The 26,127-nt window shown below is 38.6% G+C and overlaps 1 protein-coding gene across 1 annotated transcript in view, besides 1 other annotated feature; it reads right to left on the bottom strand.

Annotated features, from left to right (window-relative positions):
• Positions 9,958-10,490: an enhancer, noted in NCBI's record as "NANOG hESC enhancer chr10:64242262-64242794 (GRCh37/hg19 assembly coordinates)". NCBI's record gives its function as "activates a minimal SCP1, AML or CMV promoter by ChIP-STARR-seq in naive H9 embryonic stem cells {active_cell/tissue: H9 hESC(naive)}" and the evidence as "EXISTENCE:reporter gene assay evidence [ECO:0000049][PMID:30033119]".
• ZNF365 (zinc finger protein 365) overlaps positions 12,708-26,127 on the bottom strand; it is a 105,917-nt gene continuing 92,497 nt past the window's right edge. Inside the window, exon 5 of the mRNA NM_199450.3 lies at positions 12,708-13,117. Coding sequence (NP_955522.1) covers positions 13,097-13,117 — 21 coding nt within the window. The 3' untranslated portion in view covers positions 12,708-13,096. The remainder of the gene's footprint in view (positions 13,118-26,127) is intronic.

The raw sequence follows: 26,127 nt of genomic DNA, 5'->3' as shown, positions 1-26,127 counted from the left end.
GCACTAGATGAATTTGGCTGGAGCCGCTTCTCTAAGGTGCTGCTGCTCTGGGATCCAGGAAGTATCTGCTTGCACATGTGAGTTCCAGAGAGAATGGGAGGCTTTTATGAAAGCTCAGAATCCTGCAGAACACAGAAGGCCACAAGCCCAGTAAAGGAAGTGGTGGAAACAATTAAGAAATCTAAGCAGAAATGGTTGCTAGAGAGAGGGCCACAACTGGTCTTTCGACCACATCCGATATTTCCTTCAAATTGTTATGCAGGACAGTAATTGTCTCCTGGGAGGGCAAGAGGCAAACTAGGCTGGGCTGGCCTTTAATAGGTTTCAACAGCAAAGCACCCTCATAAATAGTGCATATTGTGAAACCAGAATTTTCTCCTTTTCCAGTGGATCTCTCCCAACTCTCCTCCTTTAATTAAAGAAACATGGCTTACCAAGAAACAAATACCTCTTTTCATAAAGCATTAAGTATGGATTAAGAGGGAAGAAAAAAAAAGAGAATTCTGTGTTGAGGAAGGGAGCGTTCAATAAACCATTCATGCAGAGGCTGTGATATGTAGATAATTCCATGTTTATAATTGTCGATACTACTTGGTGATTCCTGGCATCACCTGGCTGACATGACAAAATCATGCCCTTGATGTCCATGGCTAGCCTGGAATTAGAATGCACTCACCTAGAATCAGTCTGGAGAGAACCTTTGTTTTCCTGAGTCCTAGTTTCTCACCAATCCCATTTGCTACCTGCACCAACCTGTCCAAGTTTGTTCACAACGCATTTTCTTGTGCCATCTGGTGGATTTCAAGTGAATTTGCAGCAGGAGCTAAAATAGAGTCTCACTTATTTGTTAATTTGTTTCATTTCAGAATTCACTGCAGAGTACCTTGATGACACCTCTAAAGGCTTATTTTCTTGCTCTTTTCTAATCAATTTTTCATACATCTATTTTAACTTTTTCAAAATTATTTGTATTTTTAAATCAGTAAATCAAGCATCTGGCATAAAATTCAAAAGGCACATAGGTTGAAAATAAGTCTGCCTAAGCTACCCAGTTCCTATTCTAAGAGGTAACCACCCTTTACATTATTCCAGGAAAGTACATCACACATGTGTGTCTTTAACAAATATTAGCACATTCTACACATTGGTTTGTTTGGTTTTTTTGTTTTTCACTTAACATATCTTGGAGAACTTTCCATATCAGTGTATAACACTGCTTCATTGTTTTAGACAGTTGTGTAATGCTTACTTGCATGTTGTAATATATATTACTCAACCAGGCCCTTTTCTATAGGTGATTAGTTTTTAATCTCTTGCTATTCAAAATAGTTCTGCATACAAAAGAAGCAGGATTAAAAAACAAAAACAAACAACAACAACAACAACAAAATACTGCAATAAATACCCATACATATATATATATATATATATATAGTTACCACTCCAATGCAGGTATATCTGTAGGAAAAGTCCTAGAAGTGGATTTTCTAAATCAAAGAGCATTAGAGGCCCTTTAATTGTAACCAGGCATTCTCAAATCACTCTTCCAAGAGGTAGCAACAGTTTATACTTCAATTAGCAAAGTATGAGCATGCCTGTCGTCCTAGATACTAGCCAAAGGTGTTATCAAACTTTTTGATCTTTTCCCATATGATAAGTGAAAAACAATATTACATTATAGTTTTACAATTTTTTTATTTGTAGTGAGATTGAGAATCAATTCATACATTTTAAAACATTTATATTTTCTTTTACCTGCTCATTTATTTTCTTTTGCCATTTTTTATTGAGTTGTTGATTTGCTTATTTATTTGTGGGAGCTCTTTGTATATTAATAAAGTTACTCCTCAGTTATATCAGTTGAAAATTTTTCCCAATCTGTCATTTATATTTTCTCTTTCTTTAGAATATTTTTTGTTTCCATGAAGATGTCTTTTTATTTTATTGTCAAACTTGTCTATCCACTGAACATTAGAAAAGTTTGTACAATTTAAATATATTAAAAACTATTAGTATTTTTATTAGGATTGCAGTATGCATCTAGATTAATGGATAATTATCATCTGTATAATCTTGTTCAGGGATGTACCATGTTTTCCACTTGTTAAGGTGGTCTTTTATGGCCTCTGATAGTGTTGTAAAGTTTTCCCTATGTAAGTTTTATACTTTTGTGTGTGCTGTTTTTTCCCAGGTCTTTTATCTTTTTAGTTGTTATTATAAAAGAGATCTTTTTGCCATTATATGTTCCAATGAGGTTTCAGATATCAAAAGACTACTGATTTCTGTATATCAATACTGTGCCTAAAAACTTAACTGCGTTCTCTTAGTGTTTTAAAATTTTTCAGATTAGGCGTGGTGGCTCACACCTGTAATCCAACACTTTGGAAAGATCACTTGAGACCAGGAATTTGCTTGAGCCCAAGAGTTTGAGACCAGCCTGGGCAACACGATAAGTCCCCATCTCTACTGAAAAAATAAAATTAGCTTGCCATGGTGGTATACACCTGTAATCTCAGCTACTTGGGAGGCTCACTTCAGCCCAGGAGTTCCAGACTGCAGTGAGCTATGATTGCTTCACTGCATTCCAGCCTGGGCATTGGTTGATTGTCTTGGGTTTTTCAGGTAAACAATCATATTGTCTGCAAATAATAATTTTATGCTGGCTTTGGACTTATACTGATATAGACATTATAGATGTATTTTACTATGTTAAGGAATTTTTCACTTATTTTTATTTTATTGTGGTGTTTAAAATCAGGAATTGATATGATCATCAACTATCAATTCTCAGCTTCAGCCTACTGGACCTATCAGCAGCACGTGGCACTGATATTCCAGAGGCATCCTCCCCTGGAATACACTCTCCTCACTTGGTCTCTAGGTCACCACTTCCCTTGGTTTTCATCCTCTCTCATTAATCATCCCCTCTTAATTTCATATCCTAGTTCCCCCTTGTGTTCCTTATGTCTCAGTGTTTAAGACTCTGGAGTTTATTCTTTAAAATTCTTATTTCTCTGATGATTTCATCCTAGTCTCAGGGGCCTTACATGACCATCATCAATGACTCCCACATTGAAATCCCAGCCCAGATCTGCCTCCTGAACTCCAGGTTCCTACATCCAGCATCACCACTTGATGTCTCATGGATATCTCAAAATGAACACACCCAAAACTGAGCTCTTGGTCTTGCCCTCCAGACCACCTGCAGCCCTTCCTGCCTCACTAATGCACTGTTCTTTCAGGTGCCCAGGCCCTAAGCCCTGGAGATATCCTTGATTCCCTTTTTCTTCTAACATTGTTCAATACACTGGGAAATACTGTTGGTTTCACCCTCAAATGTATCCCAGAATCTGACTGCTTCCCACCATCTCCTCTTCTACTGCCCTTGCCCAAACCTCTATCACCACTTCCCTGGATTGCTGCCACAGTTTCCCAGTGGGTCTTCCTTTTCCCACCCTTGGCCATTCAACAGCCTATTCTCAACACAGCAGCTAGAGATTCATTAAAACATAAGCAGGTCACAGTGGCTCCTCTTCTCAGAGCTTTGCAGGGCTTCTGTATTCACTCAGAATAAAATCAAAGAACACACAAGGGCCTATAAAGCCCTATGCGATCACCTCACTTTAACAGCCCATTACCTTCCTGACCTCAGACTTCATCTCTTATTTCTCACCCCATGCTCACTCCACTCCAGCTGCTCTGCTGCACCTTGAACATGCTGTACATGCTCCCTTCTAGGGCACTTGCACTGGCATTCTCTCTTCCTAGAAAAGACTTTGTTCAAAATGTGGAAGTCTGAATCTCTTACCTCCTCCACATCTGCCCAGATCTTATCAGCTCAATGAGGCCTGCTGTGAAGCCCTTTCTAAAAATTGTACCCTACATACCCACCTCACTCTAAAACTTCCAGTGCCCCTTCCTTGCCTCTGTTTTTCCCATAATACTTGTCATATCCTATTCTATCGTTCAATTATATATTATGCTTATCATTTTTATCTGTTTCTTCCAAATGGAATGTAAACTCAATGAGTACGAGAATCACGGCTTGTTTATTTACAGATTTGAATACTTAAAACAGTGCTTGACATATAATAGGCACTTAGTATTTGTTGAATGAACAAATGTATGATCGGCAGGCTCTTCTTCATGGTTTATTTTGTCCAAGATATTATTCAGGATATCTTGCATCCCTGACTCTGATGGTCTAGGTCATTCCCAGTGCAGCCTCTTTCCTTGCAGGGCCCTTGGAACACTGAGCCCCAGCCATGCCTTCTCAATCTTAGATTGCTCAAGCTCCACCCCGCACCAGGCCACTGTGTTCAACAAACTGTGGACACAGTCTCCCAGGGAAGCCCCTCTTGTCCGACTTGAGATAAGAGTGCCCATCTCGCTGTGCCCAAAATGATGGAGACAGGAGAGATTCATCTTCCAAAGCAATTCTTTCTCTAATTTCCAAGATCACTCTTGACATCTCCCTCTTCATTTAAAGACTAGAGTTGTGGCCAGGTGCTGTGGCTCACACCTGTAATCCTAGCACTTTGGGAGGCCAAGGTGGGTGGATCACCTGTAGCTCAGGAGTTTGAGGCCAGCCTGGCTAACATGGTGAAACCCCATATCTACTAAAAATACAAAAAAAAAAAATAGCTTTGTGTGGTGGTGGGCGCCTGTAATCCCAGCTACTCGGCAGGCTTAGGCAGGAGAATCGCTTGAACCCAGGAGGCAGAGGTTGCAGTGAGCCGAGATGGCACCACTGCACTCCAGCCTGGGCAAGGGAATGAGATTCCATCTCAAAAAAAATAAAAAAGAATAAAAAAGAGTAGAGTTACGGTCAGTTAGGAGCAATTAAGGAGTAAACCTCAGACCACACCTTTATAAGTCCTGCAACACTAGCCTTGTATCTCTTTTTAAAATACAAGAGCACTTTTGTCTCTTCACTTGGGGTACCAGTATAAACTGAAACAGAAAGAGTCTTACTTTAACCTCTTGTCACATATGGTTCCATAAACAATATAGAAAATTGTTTTGTATGTTTGTAACTTACAGTGAATAGTTTCACAGTGTATGTTACACTCCAGTTTGATTTTTCTCAATCAGCATTATGTCTTCAAATGCTATTCATATTGATACACAAAGACCTAGGTCATTCGTTTTAATTGTTGTCTAATATTCCATTGTATACCATAATCTACTTATCCAGTACTCTACGTATGGATATTTGAGTTATTTTCAATTGTTTATTATTACCAACTGCAGTAACATCCTTTTACCCATCCCCTTGGGCACCGGTCAAGTAACATATTCAGGATATACACGTAGAATTGAATTTGTTGAGTATGCACACTTCCAATTTTAAGAGCTATTGCAAAATTATTCTCCAATTTACACTCCCACAAGCAAATTACTAGAATTCCCTTTTCTTTGAATATTCACATCCCTGCCAACAATGGCTATGATCACAATTCTTAATTTTTACCAAATTTCTGAGTGTAAAATAGTATCTCACTGTTTAAGATCGAATTCTCCTGATTACCAGTAAGGCTGAGCATCATTTTGTATTTTTTAATTGAAATTTTAATTGAGATAATTATAGATTTATATGCAGTTATAAAAAATAATACAGCAAGAGCTCTTGTTCATTTTGCCTGGTTGCTGCATGGTAATAGTTTGCAAAACTATAATATAAAAATCCACATCCAGCATATTGACATTTATGCATCATCCAGTCATACTCAGATTTCTGCAGTTGTACCTATACTCACTCATCTGTGTGTGTGCTAGTTTTTTAAAATTTGATTATTAAAATTTCCTTTCCCAAGTATTGACTGCTTATACCCTTTGATGTTTTTCTTTTAGATTTTTTTGTCTTTTTAATTGACATATATATTCTACACGACAATCTATAGTTTGGCTTGTATGTCACAAATATGGCATCTCTGTTCTTTCTATTGTCACTTATATTTGAATTTTGTTATTGTGATGTTTTAAAAATTGGAGTAATCAAATTTAATAATTTATTCTGTTTTGAAACAAGCTTTTGCTGTCTTGTTCAAGAAATCATTGTTTACTGTGAGATCATAGTGTTCTCTAATATTTTCTTCTAATGCTTTTTAGGGTTTTCTTACATTATGGTTTTAATCTATTGGGAGGTTGTTTTTATGTATGATGTGAGGCATTGATCTAATTTTACTTTTTCTGTATGAAAAACAATTTTTCCTCTGCAGCAATAATTGATTAATTCATCCCATCTGTATTAAGTCATTCTTGCATTGCTATATATATATATAAATACCTGAGGACCGGACGCAGTGGCTCACGCCTGTAATCCCAGCACTTTGGGAGGCTGAGGAGGGCTGATCACTTGAGGTCAGGAGTTTGAGACCAGCCTGGCCAGCATGGTGAAACGCCATCTCTACTAAAAAAAAGTACAAAAATTAGCCGGGTGTGGTGGCTGGCGCCTGTAATCCCAGCTATTCGGGAGGCTGAGGCAGGAGAATCGCTTGAACCTTAGAGGCGGAGGCAGTGAGCTGAGGTTGTACCACTGCACTCCATCCTAGGTGACAAAGTGAGACTCCACCCACCCTCCTGAGACTGGATAATTTATAAAGAAAAGAGGTTTAATTGGCTTGTGGTTCTGCAGGTTCTACTACAAACCAATTAAATACTGGTATCTGCTCAGCTCCTGGGGAAGCCTCAGGAAACTTCCTATCATGGTGGCAGGCAAAGGCAGAACAAGGCATCTCACATGGTGGGAGCAGGAGCAAGACTGGGGTCAGTGAGGTGCTACACATTTTTAAATGAACAGATATCATGAGAACTCACTTGCTGTCATGAGAATAGCACCAAGAGATGGTGCTATACCATTCATGAGAAATACTTCCATGATCCAATCACCTCCCACCAGGCCCCACCTCCAGAACTGGGGATTACAATTCTACATGAGATTTGGGCAGGGACACAGATCCAAACCATATCACCATCCCTCAGATTTGACAGTGACTCCTCTGTTATGCACCTAAAGCCCATGTACACTTGATGTCATTCCTAGGCTCTAGATTGTGATCCGATAATCTGTTTATCAATCCCTGCACATTGCCACCTTGCCTTTATTACTACTATGGCTTCATAACTAATATGGATATCACGTAGTACAGGTCTGTAATCTTTATTCTCCTTTAAGAATAGTTTTAGCTATTGGCTATTTTTGATTATTTTCTGACTTCTTTATGAATTTTTAAAGTTTTTTTTATAATTTTTCTTTATAATTTTTAAAGTATCATGAAAACTCCATTGACTTCTTATTGACACAGAATTAATTTATAGGCTATAAATCTTCTACTGAGTTCTGCTTTTAGCTCATGTTTTGAAATGCAGTACTGTTTTCATTAGTACTGAATAGTTTTAATCTCCAAATTTTTTCCTCCTTAACAATTAAGAGGTTGTTTGTTTGTTTGCTGTTTTTTGTTTGTTTTTTGAGATGGAGTCTCACTCTCTTGCCCAGGCTGGTGCCATCTCAGCTCATTGCAACCTCCGCCTCCCGGGTTCAAGCAATTCTCCTGCCTCAGCCTCCTGAGTAGCTGGGATTACAAGCACGCAACACCACACCCAGCTAATTTTTGTATTTTTAGTAGAGAGGGGGTTTTACCATGTTGGCCAGGCTGGTCTCAAACGCCTGACCTCATGATCCGCCCTCTTCAGCCTCCCAAAGTGCTGGGATTACAGGCATGAGCCACCGTGCCTGGCCCAGCAATTAACGTTTTTAGACATATGCCCAATTGCCCCAAAGATATTACAAGAGTTGTTGTTTTCAATTGTCTTTTTCTTGTAGTTTCTAATTTATTTCACTGTGATTAGATAAGATGGCTCATACGAATAGATCTTTGGAATTTGTTCTGCCTCTTCTCCTGCCCTAGTGTGTGATCAGTTTTTATACGTGTTTAATTAGATCTTTAAAAGAATGCAATCTTGGACTCTTGACTACAAGGTTCCATGCCTACAAGGTTCCATGCCTACATCAAGCTTTTAAGTTATGCTATGCAAATCTACACTTTAACTAGTTTATTTTTTCTACTTGATCTACCAGTTTCTGAGAGAAATATATTAACATCTCTCACTATGATTCTGAATTACTTTCTCTTTGTGATTCTTTCAAATTTTGTTTTATGTATTTTGAGGTCACTAGGTGTATGGAGGCTCACGATTTATATATCGTCATGGTGGATTGTCAAACTACTCCTTTGCTTTCAAAGATCCACAGATCACAGAATGCATCTGTTTGTTCATGAATCACATCAGTAACAAAATATTCCAAACTGCAGGTGTTAGTATGTGATATGGTTTGGCTCTGTGTCCCCACCCAAATCTCACTTTGAATTGTAATAATCCCCACATATCATGGGAGGACCAAGTGGCAGGTAATTGAAACATGGGGGTGGGTTTTTCCCATGCTGTTCTCCTGATACTGAATAAGTCTCATGAGATCTGATGGTTTTATAAAGGGGAGTTCCCCTGCACATGCTCTCTTGCCTGCCGCCATATAAGATGCGACTTTGCTCCTCCTTTGCCTTCTGTCATGATTGTGAAGCCTCCCCAACCATGTGGAACTGTGAGTCAATTACACCTCTTTCCTTTGTAAGTTACCAAGTCTCAGTTATGTCTTTATTAGCAGCATGAGAACAGACTAATACAGTATGCAAATAAACTACTCACTTGAGCTATGCTGCATAGTACTGTATGCTCCAAGTTGAGTAGCAATAGAAATGTATTTATTTTTCCTGTACACAAATACAGTATAGAAAGAAGATAACTATATTTTAGATCTTTATCATAAAAATCATTAGAGTTCCAAACTTATTTTTTATTGCTTAGCTTAAACATTATTCACTCAATATCAATCATTCTACTGAAAAAAAAATGCCAAAGAATACAGTTAATTTAAAGGAAAATATTGTCTCCCACTATCCCCAGCCCACTTTGATCTCATTAGACCCCTCATTGGCCTTCAAATGCCCAGAGCTTCTTGAAGGGTTTGCTTCTTCCTGTATCCAGGTCTTCCTCTATACCTGTATATCATCTGGCAAGACCTGGCTCAAGACCCATTGGTACGTCAGTATTATCTATGGGAAAGAACCCTGACATCAACTGGTCTTGGAATAAAATTCAACTTCAACACCTAATTGCTATATGACTGTAGAGAGGTAAAGAAATATGGCTAGGTTCTTTCTGTGTCTTGGTTTTTACACAGATAAAATGAGGATAAAACTTGCCCCAGAAACTTAATTGAATGATCACATTTTCAGAAATGGAATAGGATACTCCTAGAACTTAGTTATTTCCTCTTTCTTTTCCTTCTTTCAATCTGTTGCCTGGAGAATGTAGTGCACTGTGATTCTTTTCATCTCTGATCTCATATTAACTAGACCACAAAGTCTAGTCCACAATTGGTTTCCATTTTTTCAAATAAGTGAGTTTTGTTTCTCTAGCTGGACTGAGAAAGCTCCATGAAGACAAGGAATATTTATCTCCTACAGAGCTTAGAACAATATTCAGTGCATAGTAAGAGACTTGGAAAATAGTTGCTTGTTGATAGAAGAAATAAAATAAAACCTGCCTGATTAATCTTTCTTCTTTTATTTAACTTTTGGTGGAGATTATAAATAACAGAGGAAACCACCAAAATAACAGCAAAGAAAGGAGCCTGGAATATAAGACCCTTTCCCGTAGTCAGATTCCTGTACCCAAGTCTTACTAACAAGGAAAGCAATAAATAGGGGAAATATATGCCCATAGCTTCTGATATCGAGTTTTCTAGGAAAAAAGTCAAATTTCTTATTTACTGCTTGACCTTGTAGATAAAAATTTGAATGACTTCTAATGATTTCCTTTCTTTGGAAGGTTCCTATTGTAACAGGTACAGGTTTTCCAAGTGTAAAAAGGCATTGCAAGCAGGTATCTATGTTTAGCTGTGAACCTCTCTGAATCATCTTTCTATCCATAGAGATTTGCAGAGGTCATGGAACTAAGGGACGCTTCCAGGGGATGTTTGCAAATGAATAATTGAGTGAATAAATTAGTTAGGCACAATTATAAGCCAGAAACCAGAGTTTACACCCATGCAGATTGGGATGTCTCCTTTCAGAGTTGCCTAGTCTAGGAATACACAACTGAGGTAGGCAGTGGCCTAGCCCCAGGGGAGCTCCAGCAGAGAAAGGAGCTGCTCTAAGGTACTTAACCTCTATAACAGAGCAACCTGGTTCCTGCAACAGCTATAGCTGGGATTGCTTTTGATGCTGAGCTAGGCCAGGATTGGCCTGTGGCAAAAATGTGAGCAGCAAGAAATTATGTTGTTAGTATTCTACCACCTTCCCTTTTATGGTTCTTTGCCCTTTCTCCACTTCCTGCCTCAGGTTTCCAGCAACTAAGCCACACACCCATCTAAGAATCAGCATTCCATCTGTCCCCTCCAAAAGAAAAGAGAGTGGGCAATGTTAGTACATTAAAGGTAATGAAATAAGATAAGAGGTAGGGAAAGGGGTAGAAGAGAACAGGGAAGAAGAAATGTCACCAACATCTATTTTATCTGGAAAAATGTAGGAGATATTGTGCTGGCCATTTTTAATACCTGATCTCATTTAAATCTCATTTAATTCCCCCAATAACACCATGGACCCAGTATCATTATGCCCAGAGAAGTTAAGTAAGTTGCAGAAGTCCGTATAGTTAGGAACAAAACACAAACCTCAAAATCATGTGTTTAATTCCAAAGTCAAAGTATCTCCATGACATATGACAAGTAAATAGTTCGATTAATTTTCCAAATGATATTAGAGAACTGACGGATACTAGCTTAAAATACAGAGTGGCCATAAGATCTGGCAGCACAGATAAATCATTTCTTACAGATTGAACCTACTTGATTACTTCTTCTGGGGTATGCTAATGATGCAGGTTTCTTCACTGAAAATCAGAGACACAAATAAGGCAATATGTCACATACCCATATATGGGGAATGATGAAATACTGCATCAATGAAATGCATTACTTGCAATTCTGCACAGCACATTGAGCTATGTATTTTTACCAAGGGACAACACAATAAGTGTTATCATGTAATGTCATTGAACATATCATGTCTTTTTTATATCAATTATCCTTTTATCTTATAAAATTACCTGTGTTTCCAGACTTCATGGCTATCTTGTATAATCCAGGAATCAAGAGGTAATAATAACTTGAGCTCAAAGGAATAATTGAATGATTTTCAAGCGATATGAGAGGGAAGTAGGAGAGATATTTTGGGGGTAGCAAGAACTCCTAAAATCACAGTACGTAAGTGACCTGTTCTCCTCCATTTAGTTCTGGGCCACTTTTCACCTTGTGCTACTGAAATGGTCTGACTATATTGCCATGTCGTGCTGAATCTCCAAACTTCTCTATAGGAAAAGGAAATTAGAAATCAGTGAGTCCCTGGCTGAGCACAGTGGTTCATGCCTGTAATCCCAGTAGTTTGAGAGGCCAAGGCAGGTCAATCACCTGAGGTCAGGAGTTCGAGACCAGCCTGGGCAACATGGTGAAACCCCAACTCTACTAAAAATACAAAACTTAGCCGGGCGTGGTGGCGCATGCCTGTGGTCCCAGCTACTTGGAAGGCTGCAGCAGGAGAATCACTTGAACTCAGGAGTTGGAGGTGCAGTAAGCTGAGATTGCGCCACTGCACTCCAGCCTGGGTGACAGAGTGAGACTCTGTCTCAAAAAAAGAAAAAGAAAAAAGAAAAGATATCAGTGAGTTCCTTATCCAAAGTCCCAAAATCCAAGCTCATCAGAGAATAATCAGCCCTGTACTCTTGTTATTGGCCACTGTGGGATTACCTGAGGTACTGTACTTGGATCACACACCCCTCTCTCTGCCACCACTCCTCCAGCTTAATATTATATGAAATAGAAAATGGCAAAGACTGGTGAAAATGGGAACGAAGGTTTGTTCCTCTTTTCTTAATTAAGCTGTGGTCCTTAGCACAAGTCTGTAACATCAATCTTATCGAATCTCAATAAATGCTTACAACTCATCACTACTAAGAATCTAATTAGACATTTATTGCTTATGTAGTTCTGAATTAATGACATAGCAGCAAGATTTATATCTCACATATCTGTTATACCTCAGCACTCTTCATTTTAATAATCAATTGATATTTCGTTAACATTAACTATCCTATTAAAACTAAATTAAATGCTATTCTGATTTGATTTTATTAAATAAATGCTGGAAACACTAATGAGGCGCAGGCCATTTAAATCATGACAGGACTGCCAAATTTGCACCCCTCTGTTAAGTGAAGTAATTTCACAGTGAAAAAAATGAGCAGATGTGTTTCTCAAGCTGACAATTTCATAAATACTTCAAATGAAGTCATGATGGATTTTCAACCAACATCTCAAAAGACTAAGAGAAACTCTCAGAATATGCTTCATTTTGAATAAGGCTGTGCTAAAGATGCCTTAAAGAAAAAAATACTTCACCCTCATCTCATGTTGTAAGGTCACTAATCTGAGAAGAGCAAGATAGTGTTGCTTCATGAAAGAATTTCAGTATTCTGGCAAAAATACTTCTGAAACGAGCTAAACTGGACTTCCTCAAACAGTTGAGTGTTTTACTTTTAGTGCAGTACCAGATTTTGTTTCACCAAGGGAATGGAACTTAATAAATAAATTACTCAATAACTATTTTTTATTTAACAACTGAGTACCTGCCATGTCCCAAGCTAAATAGAATATGACTCTATCTCATAGGGACAAATGTTCTGAAGCATCTTCTACTTGCTATGATGGGTTATATGAGAAACTCAAAGCATGAGGGGTGGGCTGTGCCCTCAGGAAGTCTGCAGTCTTGTTAGGGAGGACCTGGAGCTCATCCATCAGGAGTCTGAACCCACTCCTGGTGAGTAAAGTCACCAAGTAGCCCAAGTTTCTTGTAAAGTTCCTGGAGTGTAAAACATGCTTAATAAATATTTGTTGAATGAATGAAAGCTTCTCTGGCACAATTAATTTGCGATTCTCTTGATCCAAGTCCTCATCCAGAATCACATCATTCGAAGTTCATTATTCCACAATCGCAGACTCCTAGTCATAAAAGCCAAAAGGAAAGTTAGTAGAGTTGCAGTGGTATCTAGGTGCCAGCAACAATAGTCAAAAAAAGAAGTGGTTTCAACCATGGGTCCTGGCAAACAATTGTACTGGCAACTCTTCACTTATGTGCTGCCAAACTATGATAGACACGAGGAGCGTCTTCTACAACTGAGAAGTCACACCATTCCAGCAATGTCTGTAATTGAGATCATGTGCTGAGTGGGCAGTTCAGGTAAGGAATTATACATCCTGATTTGAATAGAACAGTCTCTGTTTTTATCCATTTCCTGAAGTAATTATTAATAGCACCAACTCTCAAGAGTGTCCTGGTTCAGATGATAAGTTATATAATCACCATGAGTGCAAGATAAAGCCTGATGAGCCAGAGGTATGGGGCAAGATTTCTATTTAAGAAAGTAGTTTGTACACACCACTTTTTATCTTCCTACCTTTGTCAGCTATGTTCGTCTTTTCATATGGTTAGTGTTTTTAGTGCTCCAATTCTACAGTATAACTGTAGTTGTCTTCTGTGCTTTTTCTATATGTTGACTCTAAAATTAAGAGTAATTATGACAGATTATGTTCCTAATTATAAAATGTTCTGGTTTTCTTCTACGTGGGAGGAATATGGATATGTCTTTGAACAACAAAGTTCTACTAAAATTCAGCCTCATGGCAAGGATCAAATCAAGGAATTTCTGCAGGCCATTTATTGGAACTTTTCAACTTAGTAAGACAGCATTCAGTAAATCCCTTTAATTGGACAGAATGACTCAGGGAGAAGAGATTAAGGGTGTTGGTCTCCTTGGAAAGTCTGATAGATGCAAGGTACTAGAAATTAAACATGTCTAGAGAGGCATATTTCAAAACAGAATAGAAATTCTTTGATAAGAATCAAGTAGATATGAAATTAAGTTTTTTAAAGCATTGTACTACCAATAGAACTACTAGCCTAAATTTTAAAACATTGTTTAAGACTTAAAAAACGACACTTGTGGCAGGGCATGGTGGCTCACCCTTGTAAGCCCAGCACTTTGGGAGGCCGAGGCAGGCAGATCACGAGGTCAGGAGATCGAGACCATCCTGGCTAACATGGTGAAACCCCGTCTCTACTAAAAATACAAAAAAATTAGCCGGGTGTAGTGGCAGGTGTCTGTAGTCCCAGCTACATGGGAGGCTGAGGCAGGAGAATGGCATGAACCCAGGAGGCGGAGCTTGCAGTGAGCGGAGATAGTGCCACTGCACTCCAGCCTGGGTGACAGAGCGAGACTCCGTCTCAAAAAAACAAACAACAAACAAAAAAATGACACTTGCTTCTTCCCCATCCTTCCTGCTTGAGCTGAAGCAGGAGGAGAAAGTTCTCTAGACCCCAAGGAGATCATGTTCTATAATTCTTTCTTGAGATGTAGCCAAAGACAATAATGTAAAAGTAAGACTTCCCATAGGATAGAGCAAAGGGCTAAAGGGAGAAAATGTCTGGGAGCTATGCCCAGGGAATAGAACCATGTCCTAATCAAGCAATCCTTCCCTCTCTGAGATAATATCCTCCTAGGGGGATTTCAGAATCAACAGAGACTGGTGGCAGTCGTGAGTCCCCTTTCACCTTTCCAAATGGGCATGTTTATTATGGTCTTTGTCCCTGTGCCATCACTGTATATTGGGTATGTGAGAGGCAGATGGCTTCTCCTTTTCTTTCTGAAGCTTTGGATCAAGAAAAGCTGTATCCATACCTGATACAGAGACTGTCTCCTATCACCTGAAGATACTGACTGGCCTTTTCCTTAGCAGTAAAGGTGAAGTCCAAATTACTGTTTAGGACTTCTGGTTGTCTTTCTTGGAGAAGGGGTGAGTATGTTCAGCTTGTGGGAAAAGGAGGATGTGAATAGCTGAATACCAGAAAGGTGGACTGTGAGAGTTTGTATTACCTTTCACCAAATATTTTTGTTTCTACCTCTGTGGTGCCACCTGTTGTAAGATTATAAACACCACCCCACATTGAATTCAAGAGTAGCCATGTGACGTACCTTGGCCAATGAAATGTGGGTGAAAGTGATGTTTGCTATTCCTGGACAGAAGTGTTGAGAGACATGGGTCACCATGTCTCTTTTCTCTGCCATGAGACTGACAACATTCAAGTGAAAGCCTGGGCCCCAAATTAGGAAAACATACATCTGGGCTTCAGCTGACCTGTAATGGGCATTTAGTATGAGGAAGAAATCAGCTTTTGATGTTGGAAGCCACTAAGACTTGAGGTCATATGCAGCATAACCTAGTTCATTCTGATAGTCACAGCAATAAACGGTGCTAATAATATTAAGATAATGTAAAGATTATTCACCATAATGCCAAGTAATGTGCCTGGACCTATAAAGAAGGAGATATAATCCCACATATCTAAAGGATGAAGCACTAAACCCTCAGTGACACAAAATCTTGATACATTTGTTTGCTTCATAGTTGAACTGATTTTCTTATCTAGCATGTAGTTTTTCCTGGACTTTCTAGTTGCCTTTCTTTTTTTCCTCTAGAAAAGTTTAGGATTATTGTTTTATCTTTAGTGTTCCAAAATTTCACCAGGATACCTCTAAGATGTCAGTCTCTTTTCATTTATTTAAGTTAGTGTTCTCTTTCTCCACTGCTTCATCTCAAAACCTACCCCAGCCACATTCATTATTTAGCTTTCCCCACCTCATATACCCACTTGCAATTTTCTTAGAATTATATTCAGTCCTTTCTCTTCCATTGGATTATGGGCCACTGTGCAGGGACTGAGTCTGGCTCCACTTTTTAATCCCCCCCATGCCAGGCGTGGTATCTGGCACAGAAAATGAACTCAATAACGAGATGCTGAATTTTCTACTTCCTGTATGCTTCCTGGTGACAAAAGTAATTAATCACAATATAGTAAATCTAATTTTAAGATACAACTATTTTTTCTCTCTCAGTAATATATGATGGACATTGCCCACTAATAAGACAGAACAGGAAACATGAATGGGTTCCAGTGTACAAATGCCCTAACAGCATGAAACATTAAAATGGTATTTTTCTGCTTTCTGAAATTCAAACAGTGATGAGAGACAGCATTCATGACATAGAATAAGGCTGCTTCAATTATAAAAACAATTCAGATCAAGCTCTTAGAACACTTCAATGTCTAATTTGCTTCCTTAACCATTTGACTTATGCATTTCACTTTTTTCTCTAGAACTTCTATGGAAGAAGAATTAGAGAAACCTATATTGAAGTTCCTAACACAAGATCTTAGTCTTAACAGCTTCTTTGGCATCAGGTGGCAGAACAATCTTTTCCTCTAGCTGTAACCTTAAATATGACCTTAGTTAGGACGTCATGTAGTGAGCAATACATGTACAGTAAATTTCAGAGCTACATGAAAGTTTCTCATCCCTCCAAAATATCTAATTGTTGGCTGCTATCCCAAATGAAGCCTTCACTTCCTTAACTTAGAACTTTAAAAATAAAACTTTTTTTTAATACCTGGGAGGAAAGATCAGTTAGAATCCCAACTGTGGCACACTTTTCCTCCCAAATCAGGCTCTGTAGAAACTCTATCAAACTTAGGTGGTTCTGAGGAACAGTTTGAAAAGCACTGCGAAGCTCAAGTCTATATAACCCTAGAGATACTTGCATAAAAATAACTAAATTATTTGGAAGTCCTTTTCTAAGAGAAGATTTTTCTCCTGCATGAGGAAAAAGCACAGTAGGTGTAGGTCCCTGGGCCATAGAAACCCTTCCCCACCCTACCCCTCCCCACAAAAAAATAGACATAGAACAGGAAAACCCAAGGTTTTTTAATATGTCTCTAATAACTTATCAGACAGTAAACCTTGACCTTGGCTCCCTCCACTGTATCCTAACACCCCTCATATGCAGGAGATTCAATAAGATCCATCTGTGTTTTAAGAGGGTCTTCATAAATACAAATCAAATTGAAGTTTTAGGCAGCCAAGAGTCTGCTAACTTTCTAGAAAATTCCAATCCAGCCCCCACACTACCCAGCTGCCGGCACCTGATTGGCTTTTTAGATAATTGATCACAGCTGGTGGCTTAATTGGGCCTGCCTCAGAAAAACCAGCTTCTTCTCAAAACAAGGCTTCATCCCGCCATGGTGCCCTCGGGGCCAGTGAACTCACTGGGAGGAAATGTGACTCCCACTTTTCCATTTGAAGAACGTGGGGCATTTCCTAGATGGGGCTCTATGCCACGGATCTGGTCGCAGCTTGGTGAGCTTGAGAAAAGAGTGCAAGCTCCCTCTCTTCTACCCTGACCTGAGAGAGCCTTGTAGTCTCTCAAAGTTTTGTAATTTGCTTTCAAGGTAGCATGAGATGGTATGGTTTTCTTTAATTCCAGTTCATAGTGAACAGTCACAATTATACAGTATCTTTAAATGTCTTTTTAATTTAATTTTATTTTATTTTATTTAGAGACAGGGTCTCCCTGTGTTGCCCAATGCAGTGTTCATTTATAGGCACAATCATGGTGCACTTCAGCCTTGAACTCCTGGGCTCAAACAATCCTCCCACCAGAGCACCTGAGTAGATGGGACTATAGGTACATGCCACTGCAGACTTTAAAGTGTCTTTCTATTGTATTTGAGTCATCCCAATTACAAGGCTTCTGTTCCCCAGTCCCATTTGATAGACCACTTGTCCATTGTGAGGAATTAAGTGATGATGACAAACTTGTAACCCTCCATTGTTGAAATAGGGGAAAGGAGCTGACCGTGGCCTGAAGAAAGGCCATGTCTTGCCAGAGTGGCCATGAGAATTTCATAAGGGACAAGACAGCAGGCTGGAGAGCTCCAACTGTGCCAAGATGCATTCTTGTCAGGTGCATAGCCCAAGAGGCATTGTCCAAAAGGAAACCGCTTACTTGATGATCATAAAGTAAAGAAGTAGGGTTGGAAATTGAGACAGTTAAAGGAAAAGTTGGTCAAATTGACAGGACAAGATCCAGAGAAATTAAGCATGTCAGAAACATACAATCAGAGACAAGACCATGTGAACTGGAGCTACTCCACTGTGAACTCCAGAAGGCCCCATTCTCCTTGATGGTTAGTTATGTCAACTTGGGAGAAAACGTTTAGTTTTGGGCTTCTTTGTGATTCCTATAGGATGGGCAAATAAAGACTGCCATCAAGAAGGTGAATATGCATATCTGAAGCTCAGAAGAGATCTGAGGTGGACAATGAGATTGGAGAATCATTGGCTTATTGACAGTAGTTGAGACCATGAACACTGTTGAGATTACCTAGGAAATGTGAACAGCTGGGTAAAGAAGATTGAATGGTGGTTTCCTTAGAGGAACTGGAGAGAAAAATAGGCTCTCACAGAAATAGTCTCTCTCTCTCTCTCATTCTTTCAAACACACACACACGAAATGGCAAAGAGTATTACTTTCCATGACAATTTATCTGAGGCCAAAGGTACACATTAAGGCAAAACAAAACAAAAATAATTTACCAGAATAAACAAGTAAGAAAACTTAAATTTCAGCAACTCCATCCAGAAATCAAAAGGCAAACTAAGTGTGGTGGAGACACCTGTTGCTGACCTACTGCTGTTTTTCTAGGCTAAGAGAGTCCTGATTTTGTGTGCCCTGCTCTGGATGGCCATATCTTTCATGGAAGGTGGCCCCAGCCATGATCATGGGGTTCTTATTGCACATCCAATAATTGGTTAAGCATGGACATGTGGTCTAATTCTAGCCAATGAAACATGAGAAAACTTCTGGCAATTTCTGGGAACACTCTACTTGTTCTTTCAAAGGGACTGGTGGTGGTGGGGATACTCCCTTTTCTAACTCCCTCTCTCAATGTTAATATGTCTATGTGTGCCTCCTGGAAGAGTGACAGACATTCTTGACCCTGAGGAGAGAAGACTGAGGACAAAAGCCAACATGCTGGGGTGCCCATCCCTCAAACTTTGGTGTTCTAAAGAAAGAAGGAACCTTCATCCTTGGTGCTGTCAACCAGCCACTGAATTACCGACCCTGATACCAACCTCTGGAGTTCTTGTTAGAGTGAATAATGAACATCTTTATTATTTGAGCTCCTCTTTGTTTGGTTTTCTTCAACTTGCTGCCAGAAAAGCATTCTAATCGATACACTAACAAACCCCCAGTGGGACAATTTATAGGTGAATAGTAACACATCTAACACAGCATTTACTATGTGCCAGGCATGGTTCTAAGAGCTTTAGCCCACTTAATCCTTATAACAACTATAAGAAGAAGACACTATTTGTCTTCTTCATTTCCCAGATGAAGAACTTCATTACAGAGAGGTGGAAGTACTTGTTCAATGTCACGTAACTAACTAATAGTAGAACTAGTATTACAAACACAGGAAGTCTGGCCCCCAAATCGAAACTCATAACCAGGATACTAGGCGCCTCTCAGATTAACAAACAGGAGCTAGGTTACTCCTATTCAAAGTCAATTACTAGGGAACTATAAGAACAGCAAAGGAGAAGTCAGATCAACAAAGTTTTTACTTCCTGTTTGATGACTTTCTTTCCACTTAATCTCCCCAACTTTGCCCAGGTTCCTTACTGTCTCCTTGCTCTACCCCCAAGCAAAATATTCTCTCAGGTCCCACTCGACCCACAAAGGTGTAAATGACTAAATAACAAGAGTGTTTGGATTTTACCAGGAATTGGAGCCTTAAACCTAGCTTGAATTTTATGCATCCATCTGCCTGAATCTACCCAGAAAACAGTTCTGTAAAGTCACATTTATGGAGAGCTGAGATTACACAGAATGAATGAATGGTCCCTTTCCCCAAGGGGCGTATGGCCGATGAAACGAAATAAAAACCTAAATTGGAGATGATCATGAAACTAAGAATATAAGATACAGGTCACAGTGGTTGCCTCTTGGAAGGGAGCTTGGAGGGGTGGGGTAGAGTGCACTAGGCAACCAGCTGAGGAGACTCTGTTTTCACCCTAAGTCTGTTTTTGTGCTATTCTATACTTGGAATTTTCCCCATATCCATATTACCCATTCATCAACAATTAGGAAAGACTAAAGTTCAAAAAGTGTGATAAATTTCTTCTAGAAATGTAGGCAGAATGCTTTGAGAGTACAAAAAATGTAAAATAGGCAAGGAAAGTATATTAGTTTGCTAGGGCTGCCATCATCACAAAGCACCATACACCAAATGGCTTAAACAATAGAAACGTATTGTCTCACAGTTCTTGAGTCTAGAAGTCTAAGATTAAGGTGTCCACAGAGCCATGGTCACTCTAAAAGCACTAGGAAAGGCTCTGTCACAGGCCCCTCTCCTCACTTTGCAATCATCAGGTGTTCCTTGGCTTGTATATAATGACATCTCTTCACATTATCTTCCCTCTATGTGTTGCCTGTGTTCAAATTTCTCCCTTTTTAAGAACACCTGTGACATTGGGTTAAGGTCTACTCTAATGACCTCATTTTAAATGGATTACTTCTGCAAAGATGCCATCTGCATACTCAGGTTTAGGACCTTGACATAGGAATTGGGAGTGGGTCACAATTCAACTGATTACAGAAAGATATTGGAACGCTTTCTGGAGATTTATTCCATCAACACAGTATTGACAGGAGGCCATTGTGAGGCTTCTTTTCTTAGAACAACAAATTTTCTCAGGCATTTGTGATAAGCAACCCCTTGACATTTTAACACAGTGGGATGACACCACATGGACTCAGCTTGAAGGGCACCACTTGGAAAACGGTAAATGTAATCTATGACAGGTGCATGTTAAATCAGGGAGCCCGATAGCTAAGTAGCAGGCTGTGTATTGTGCTATGCACCCCAGCTCTGGCTCACTTCTCCCATGTAACTACACCATCAGAAAAGGCAGATTGTTGAAGCTTGAACACTTACAGGCAATTTCCATTCTTATGCTACTGATAATTGCATTTGTGGAAACATAAGGAGTCCCTGATGGCTGATTCAACATGTAACAATTTTTAGAATTTTACTTTATAACCAAATAATGTATCCTGCTGAATAGAGTGCTGCCTCTTGCGGACAAGGTAATTTAAAAATCATGTTCAAGTTATGTTTACAATAAAAATTCAAAATAATGTTTTCTTTCTAGATGACGTTATGAGTGTGACTTGTAGGCTGGAATGTTAAAAAAATGCAGGAAATTAGAGAATAATCATGCAGATTTTTTTGTACATCCATGCCAAGAATATAAGCAATGGTGGGTGTACGGTATAGGTAGCCAGGATTTTGCAATAGTAAGCCATATAATCATAAATTAATATGAATATCAACAATTTAAAATTTTTAAAATAGCAGTTACTATGGCATACTGCCTTTCGCTATTCCAAGTATGGATGCCAGAAAATATAAGAAATACAAGTCAATCAATCAAGAGGTCCCTCAGTTTTTGTTTTCAATAGATTGATCCGTTTCATAAGAATTAAGTAAATGATGCTATTTCAAATCATTATGAGAAAGAGAGAATACCTATTTTTTTTTTTTTTTTTTTGAGACAGAGTCTTGCTCTGTCGCCCAGGCTGGAATGCAGTGGCACAATCTCGGCTCACTGCAAGCTCCGCCTCCCGGGTTCACACCATTCTTCTGCCTCAGCCTCCTGAGTAGCTGGGACTACAGGTGCCTACCATCACACCTGGCCAGTTTTTTGTATTTTTAGTAGAGACAGGGTTTCACCATGTTAGCCAGGATGATCTCGATCTCCTGACCTCGTGATCCGCCCGCCTTGGCCTCCCAAAGTGCTGGGCTTACAGGAGTGAGCCACGGCACCCGGCCTAGATTACCTATTTGATCCTTACCTCAAACTGTAAATTAAATACCAGACATATTTACCAGAGGTTTTAAACATTTTTAAAGTAAAAAAAAAAAATGCATGAACAATCCAAGTTTATGAAAGAAACTGATGAAGGTATATAAGAGGTTAAAACTCTTCCATGTTAATGAAATTATAAAAATTAAAAGCCAAAGAATAAACCAGGAAAAAATTTTTTGCAACACATTAAAAAACAGTAAATTAAAAGGATGAACACTCCAACAGGAAAAAATAATCAAAATAAACGAAAGGCAACACACACACACACAAGCTAATTTTACTAATAAGTATATATTTATATTTTAAAGTTTGACTGCAACACTGATCAAGAAAATACAAAATGAAATACATTTTTATACACAATGAGTATCTAAACATAGCAAACCCCAGCACTGTCATAACATGGAAAGTGTGTATAAACTGCTAACAACCTTTCTGTGGGTCAATTTGGCAATCAAAAGTTATTATATCTGAGATTTGTATCTAACCTAAATTTATCCAGAAAGAAAGCATCAAGGACATAGGCTGTAGCAGAGGTTGTCAGTGTCCCTCCTTATCCTGTGTATGCATGCAATGTAGTTTCCAACTGCCAGCACTGGCAACTTCTGCCTGGGATCATTTCTGGATAAGGAAGTGTGCTAAATCACGAATTAGGCTGGCTGGAAGTCAAAGGGTTAACAGCCCTGGAAGCAGTCCTCAACCAATGATAGAAGTTAAGGATTCCTCGCCCTCAATGGGGACAACTGTGAGTGCAGAACAGACTCCCAGGGGTGATAATGGAATGGGGCCTCAGTTGCCCATGGTGGTGGCTTGCTCATTAACAAATCCTCCAAGGACTTTCTTCCTTTCTCTTTCTTATTACCTTACTGATGTTTCCTGGATCACTCCCAAATAAGCTACTCAAATCCTTCTATCTAGGTCGGTATTCAGGAGAAACTAACCAAAGTTATAGGCAAACATTTATCTAAAAGGATGCTCATCACATTGTTATTTATACTACTAGAAATTGGAACTATCATATATTAATAATAGCAATAGTTTCATCAATATTATGATACAATATATACACATTAAAAGACAATAGAAGAATATTTAATGTCTTGAGAAGGCAAGTGGTATTACATAATGGTTAAGAGACAGGTTTTGAAATGTGATATCATTTCCAGTTCTGGCTTCACCAGTTGCTACCTCTATGATTTCAGACAGTTAATTAACCTCACTAAGTGTCAGTTTCCTCACATGTAAAATGAGGGTGACAATAGTATCACACAGGGTTACTGTAAATATTAAGTGAGATAGTTTCTATAAAGTGCTTAGCCTAGTTCCTGGCACACAGTAATAGTATTTATCATCACCATTATTATTAATATTATATAATAAAGTACAAGTTTACAAAACAATATGTTGTATCATTTTAACACACACACACATACGTGTATAATGAGACTTCAAAAAGTTCACAGAAAAAGGGAATTAAAAGATAAATAAAAAATATAAACTTTATTTCTCAATACAAGCTCCATCAAATTCAAGGCATTTTTGTAAGTCATGGTACCAGCCATTCAGTCCATCGCTAAAAAACTGAGGGTATTTAACTGTGTCAGTGCAGTCTTTTTTTACATTACTAACTGAAGTAAAATGGGTGCCCTTTACAGATTTTTTTAAGATTATTAAAGAAAAACAATTCAGAAGAAGCCAAATCAGGACTGTAAGGTGAATATGTTGTGATTTCTCATCAAAATTCTCACAAAATTGCCCTTGTTTGATGAGAGGAATGAGTAGAAACATTGTCATGGTGGAGAGGGACTCTGGTGAAGCTTTCCTAGACATTTTTCTGCTAAAACCTTGTTTGACTAAAGTGCTCAAAACAGTCTATAATAGGCAGATGTTATCATTCTTTGGCTCTCCCAAAAGTCAACAGCAAAATACCTTGAGCATCCCACAAAACTGTTGCCATGAACTCTGCTCTTGACTGGTCCACTTTTGCTGTGAATGGGTCGCTTCCACCTCTTGGTAGCCATTGCTTTGATTGTGCTTTGTCTTCAGAATCATACTGGTAAGGCTATGTTTCACCTTCTTTTATAATTCTTCAAAGAAGTGTTTCAGGATCTTGATCCCACTTGCTTACAATTCCCATTGAAAGGTGTGCCCTTTCTACAGTTGATCTGGGCACAGTGGTTTTGGCACCCATTAAGTGGAAAATATTCTCAACTTTAATTTTTCAGTCAGAATTGTGTAAGCTGAACTGAGATGTCTATGGTGTTGGCTATTGTTTCTGCTGTTAATCATCAGTCCTCTTCAATTAGGGCACAAACAAGATAAATTTTTTCCTCACAAATTGATGTGGATGGTCTGCCGCTGAAGGCTTCATCTTCAACATCATCTCATCCTTCTTAAAATAAGTTATCCATTTGCAAACTGCTAATCTGGGGGGGCATTGTCCTCATAAACTTTTCATAAAGCATCAGTGATTTCACCATTCTTCAACCCCAGCTTCACCCTAAATTTGATGTTTGTTCTTGTTTCAATTTTAGCAGAATTCATGTTGCTCTGATAGGGGCTCTTTACAAACTTATGTCTAAGCTTTCTTAGTGCCTCAAACTAGATCCTGTTTCAGCCATGTTATAACAAGTAGTATGAGTTTATTTTGGTGCAAAAAATTGAAATTCATGCATAGTTGTTTCATAATATGCATCTTCCATGAACATTTTGATGTCCCTTCATATATATTCATAATACATACATACATATATAAGTTCTCACACATGTATATTTATGGAAGTATAGAAACATAGGAAATATATGCAAAGTTATTATAGTATATGACTGTATACTAAGGTGGTGGATATTTTTTCTTTGTGCTTTTTTATATTTTCCTAATTTTTAGAATTATTACTTTTGTAGTCATATGACAAAAGCTATTTTTAATGAATTTTATAAATAATCTTAAAGCGACTCATAAAGGTACATTACCTGAATTTCTTCACATAAAAATGTGCAATTTTTGGCCCAGGGCTAGCCAATTCTTGTTGATGAAGTCAGGGAAAATATCACTATTTAGCAAAATTCATCTTTTTGAGAATAATGGGTATATTCTGCTCCTGAGCTTATATTGTTGATGATGGGTCTCAGTGTGAATTAAATAGAAAGTTTTGTCACAGAGCCATGCAAATGCAAACACTGCCCAAAGACTGAGCAGCTGAGTGCCACAGTTACAATAGATACTTGATCATTCAGGAACTTTCCTTATTTAAGCATCAAAAGCAAGCAAAGAGGCTTGAAGCATGATTCATAGCATCCGAATGAGTGAATTGCCTCTGAAAGGGTGACTTCATTGTTTCAGACAGTTCTGCACTTCTTCAGAGTTTCTGATTCCATTAAGTCCAGGCCAGGTCACAATGGAATATAAGTCCAACTTGGATTTGTCATCATCCCTCAACCCATATGTGTAGTACGCATATCATATACCTGTACACTCTTGAACAAATGAGCAATGCTCTCATTCAATGTGCTCAGATGAATACGTGTCTGCCAAAAAAGACAATCTTGCATCTCTGAGGGGTCTAACAGATTGTTTCTCTCAAGATACTCATTAATTCCCAGAAGTCTTTGATCTGAATTTGATAAAGACCTCCAACAACTTTCTGCTACTCAGCCCTCTAACTGGATAAAATAATCTAATCTTCACAGCCAGTTTTCACTTCTTCCAAATTATCTATAAACTGTCAAAGATCAAGGGTATTGGAACAAAAAAAAATCTACAATTTTGACCACTTTTAGCATTGAATCATGCAGTGAACTAATTTGAAAGCCTTACAGTATGAATTCTGACAAATCACACAACAAAAGAAGAAAACATCTAATATCTCTTTGGATTTTAAAAAAATTAAAAATTTAACATTTTATTCCAGTTGCCTTGCCTATGGCAAATGAAATCTGCCCTTTTTTCAGGTTGAAGGCAAATTTCTTAGGTTATTTTACTTGCAAATGGTTAATGTATGCTGAATTTTGGTAGGAAATGTTTTTCTCATTAATGGTCTCAGCCAGACAAAACTCCATCTCTATAAAAAATACAAAAATTAGCCAGGTGTGGTGGCATGCACCTGTGGCCCCAGATACTCAGGGGGCTGAGACAAGAGAATCACTTGAGCCTGGAAGGTCAAAGTTATAGTGAGCCGTGAT

This window comes from Homo sapiens, chromosome 10, assembly GCF_000001405.40.
Source record: "Homo sapiens chromosome 10, GRCh38.p14 Primary Assembly".
Taxonomy (NCBI): Eukaryota; Metazoa; Chordata; class Mammalia; order Primates; family Hominidae; genus Homo; species Homo sapiens.
Note: the sequence above shows the minus strand (reverse complement) of the source record. Positions and strands in the feature narration are given on the sequence as shown.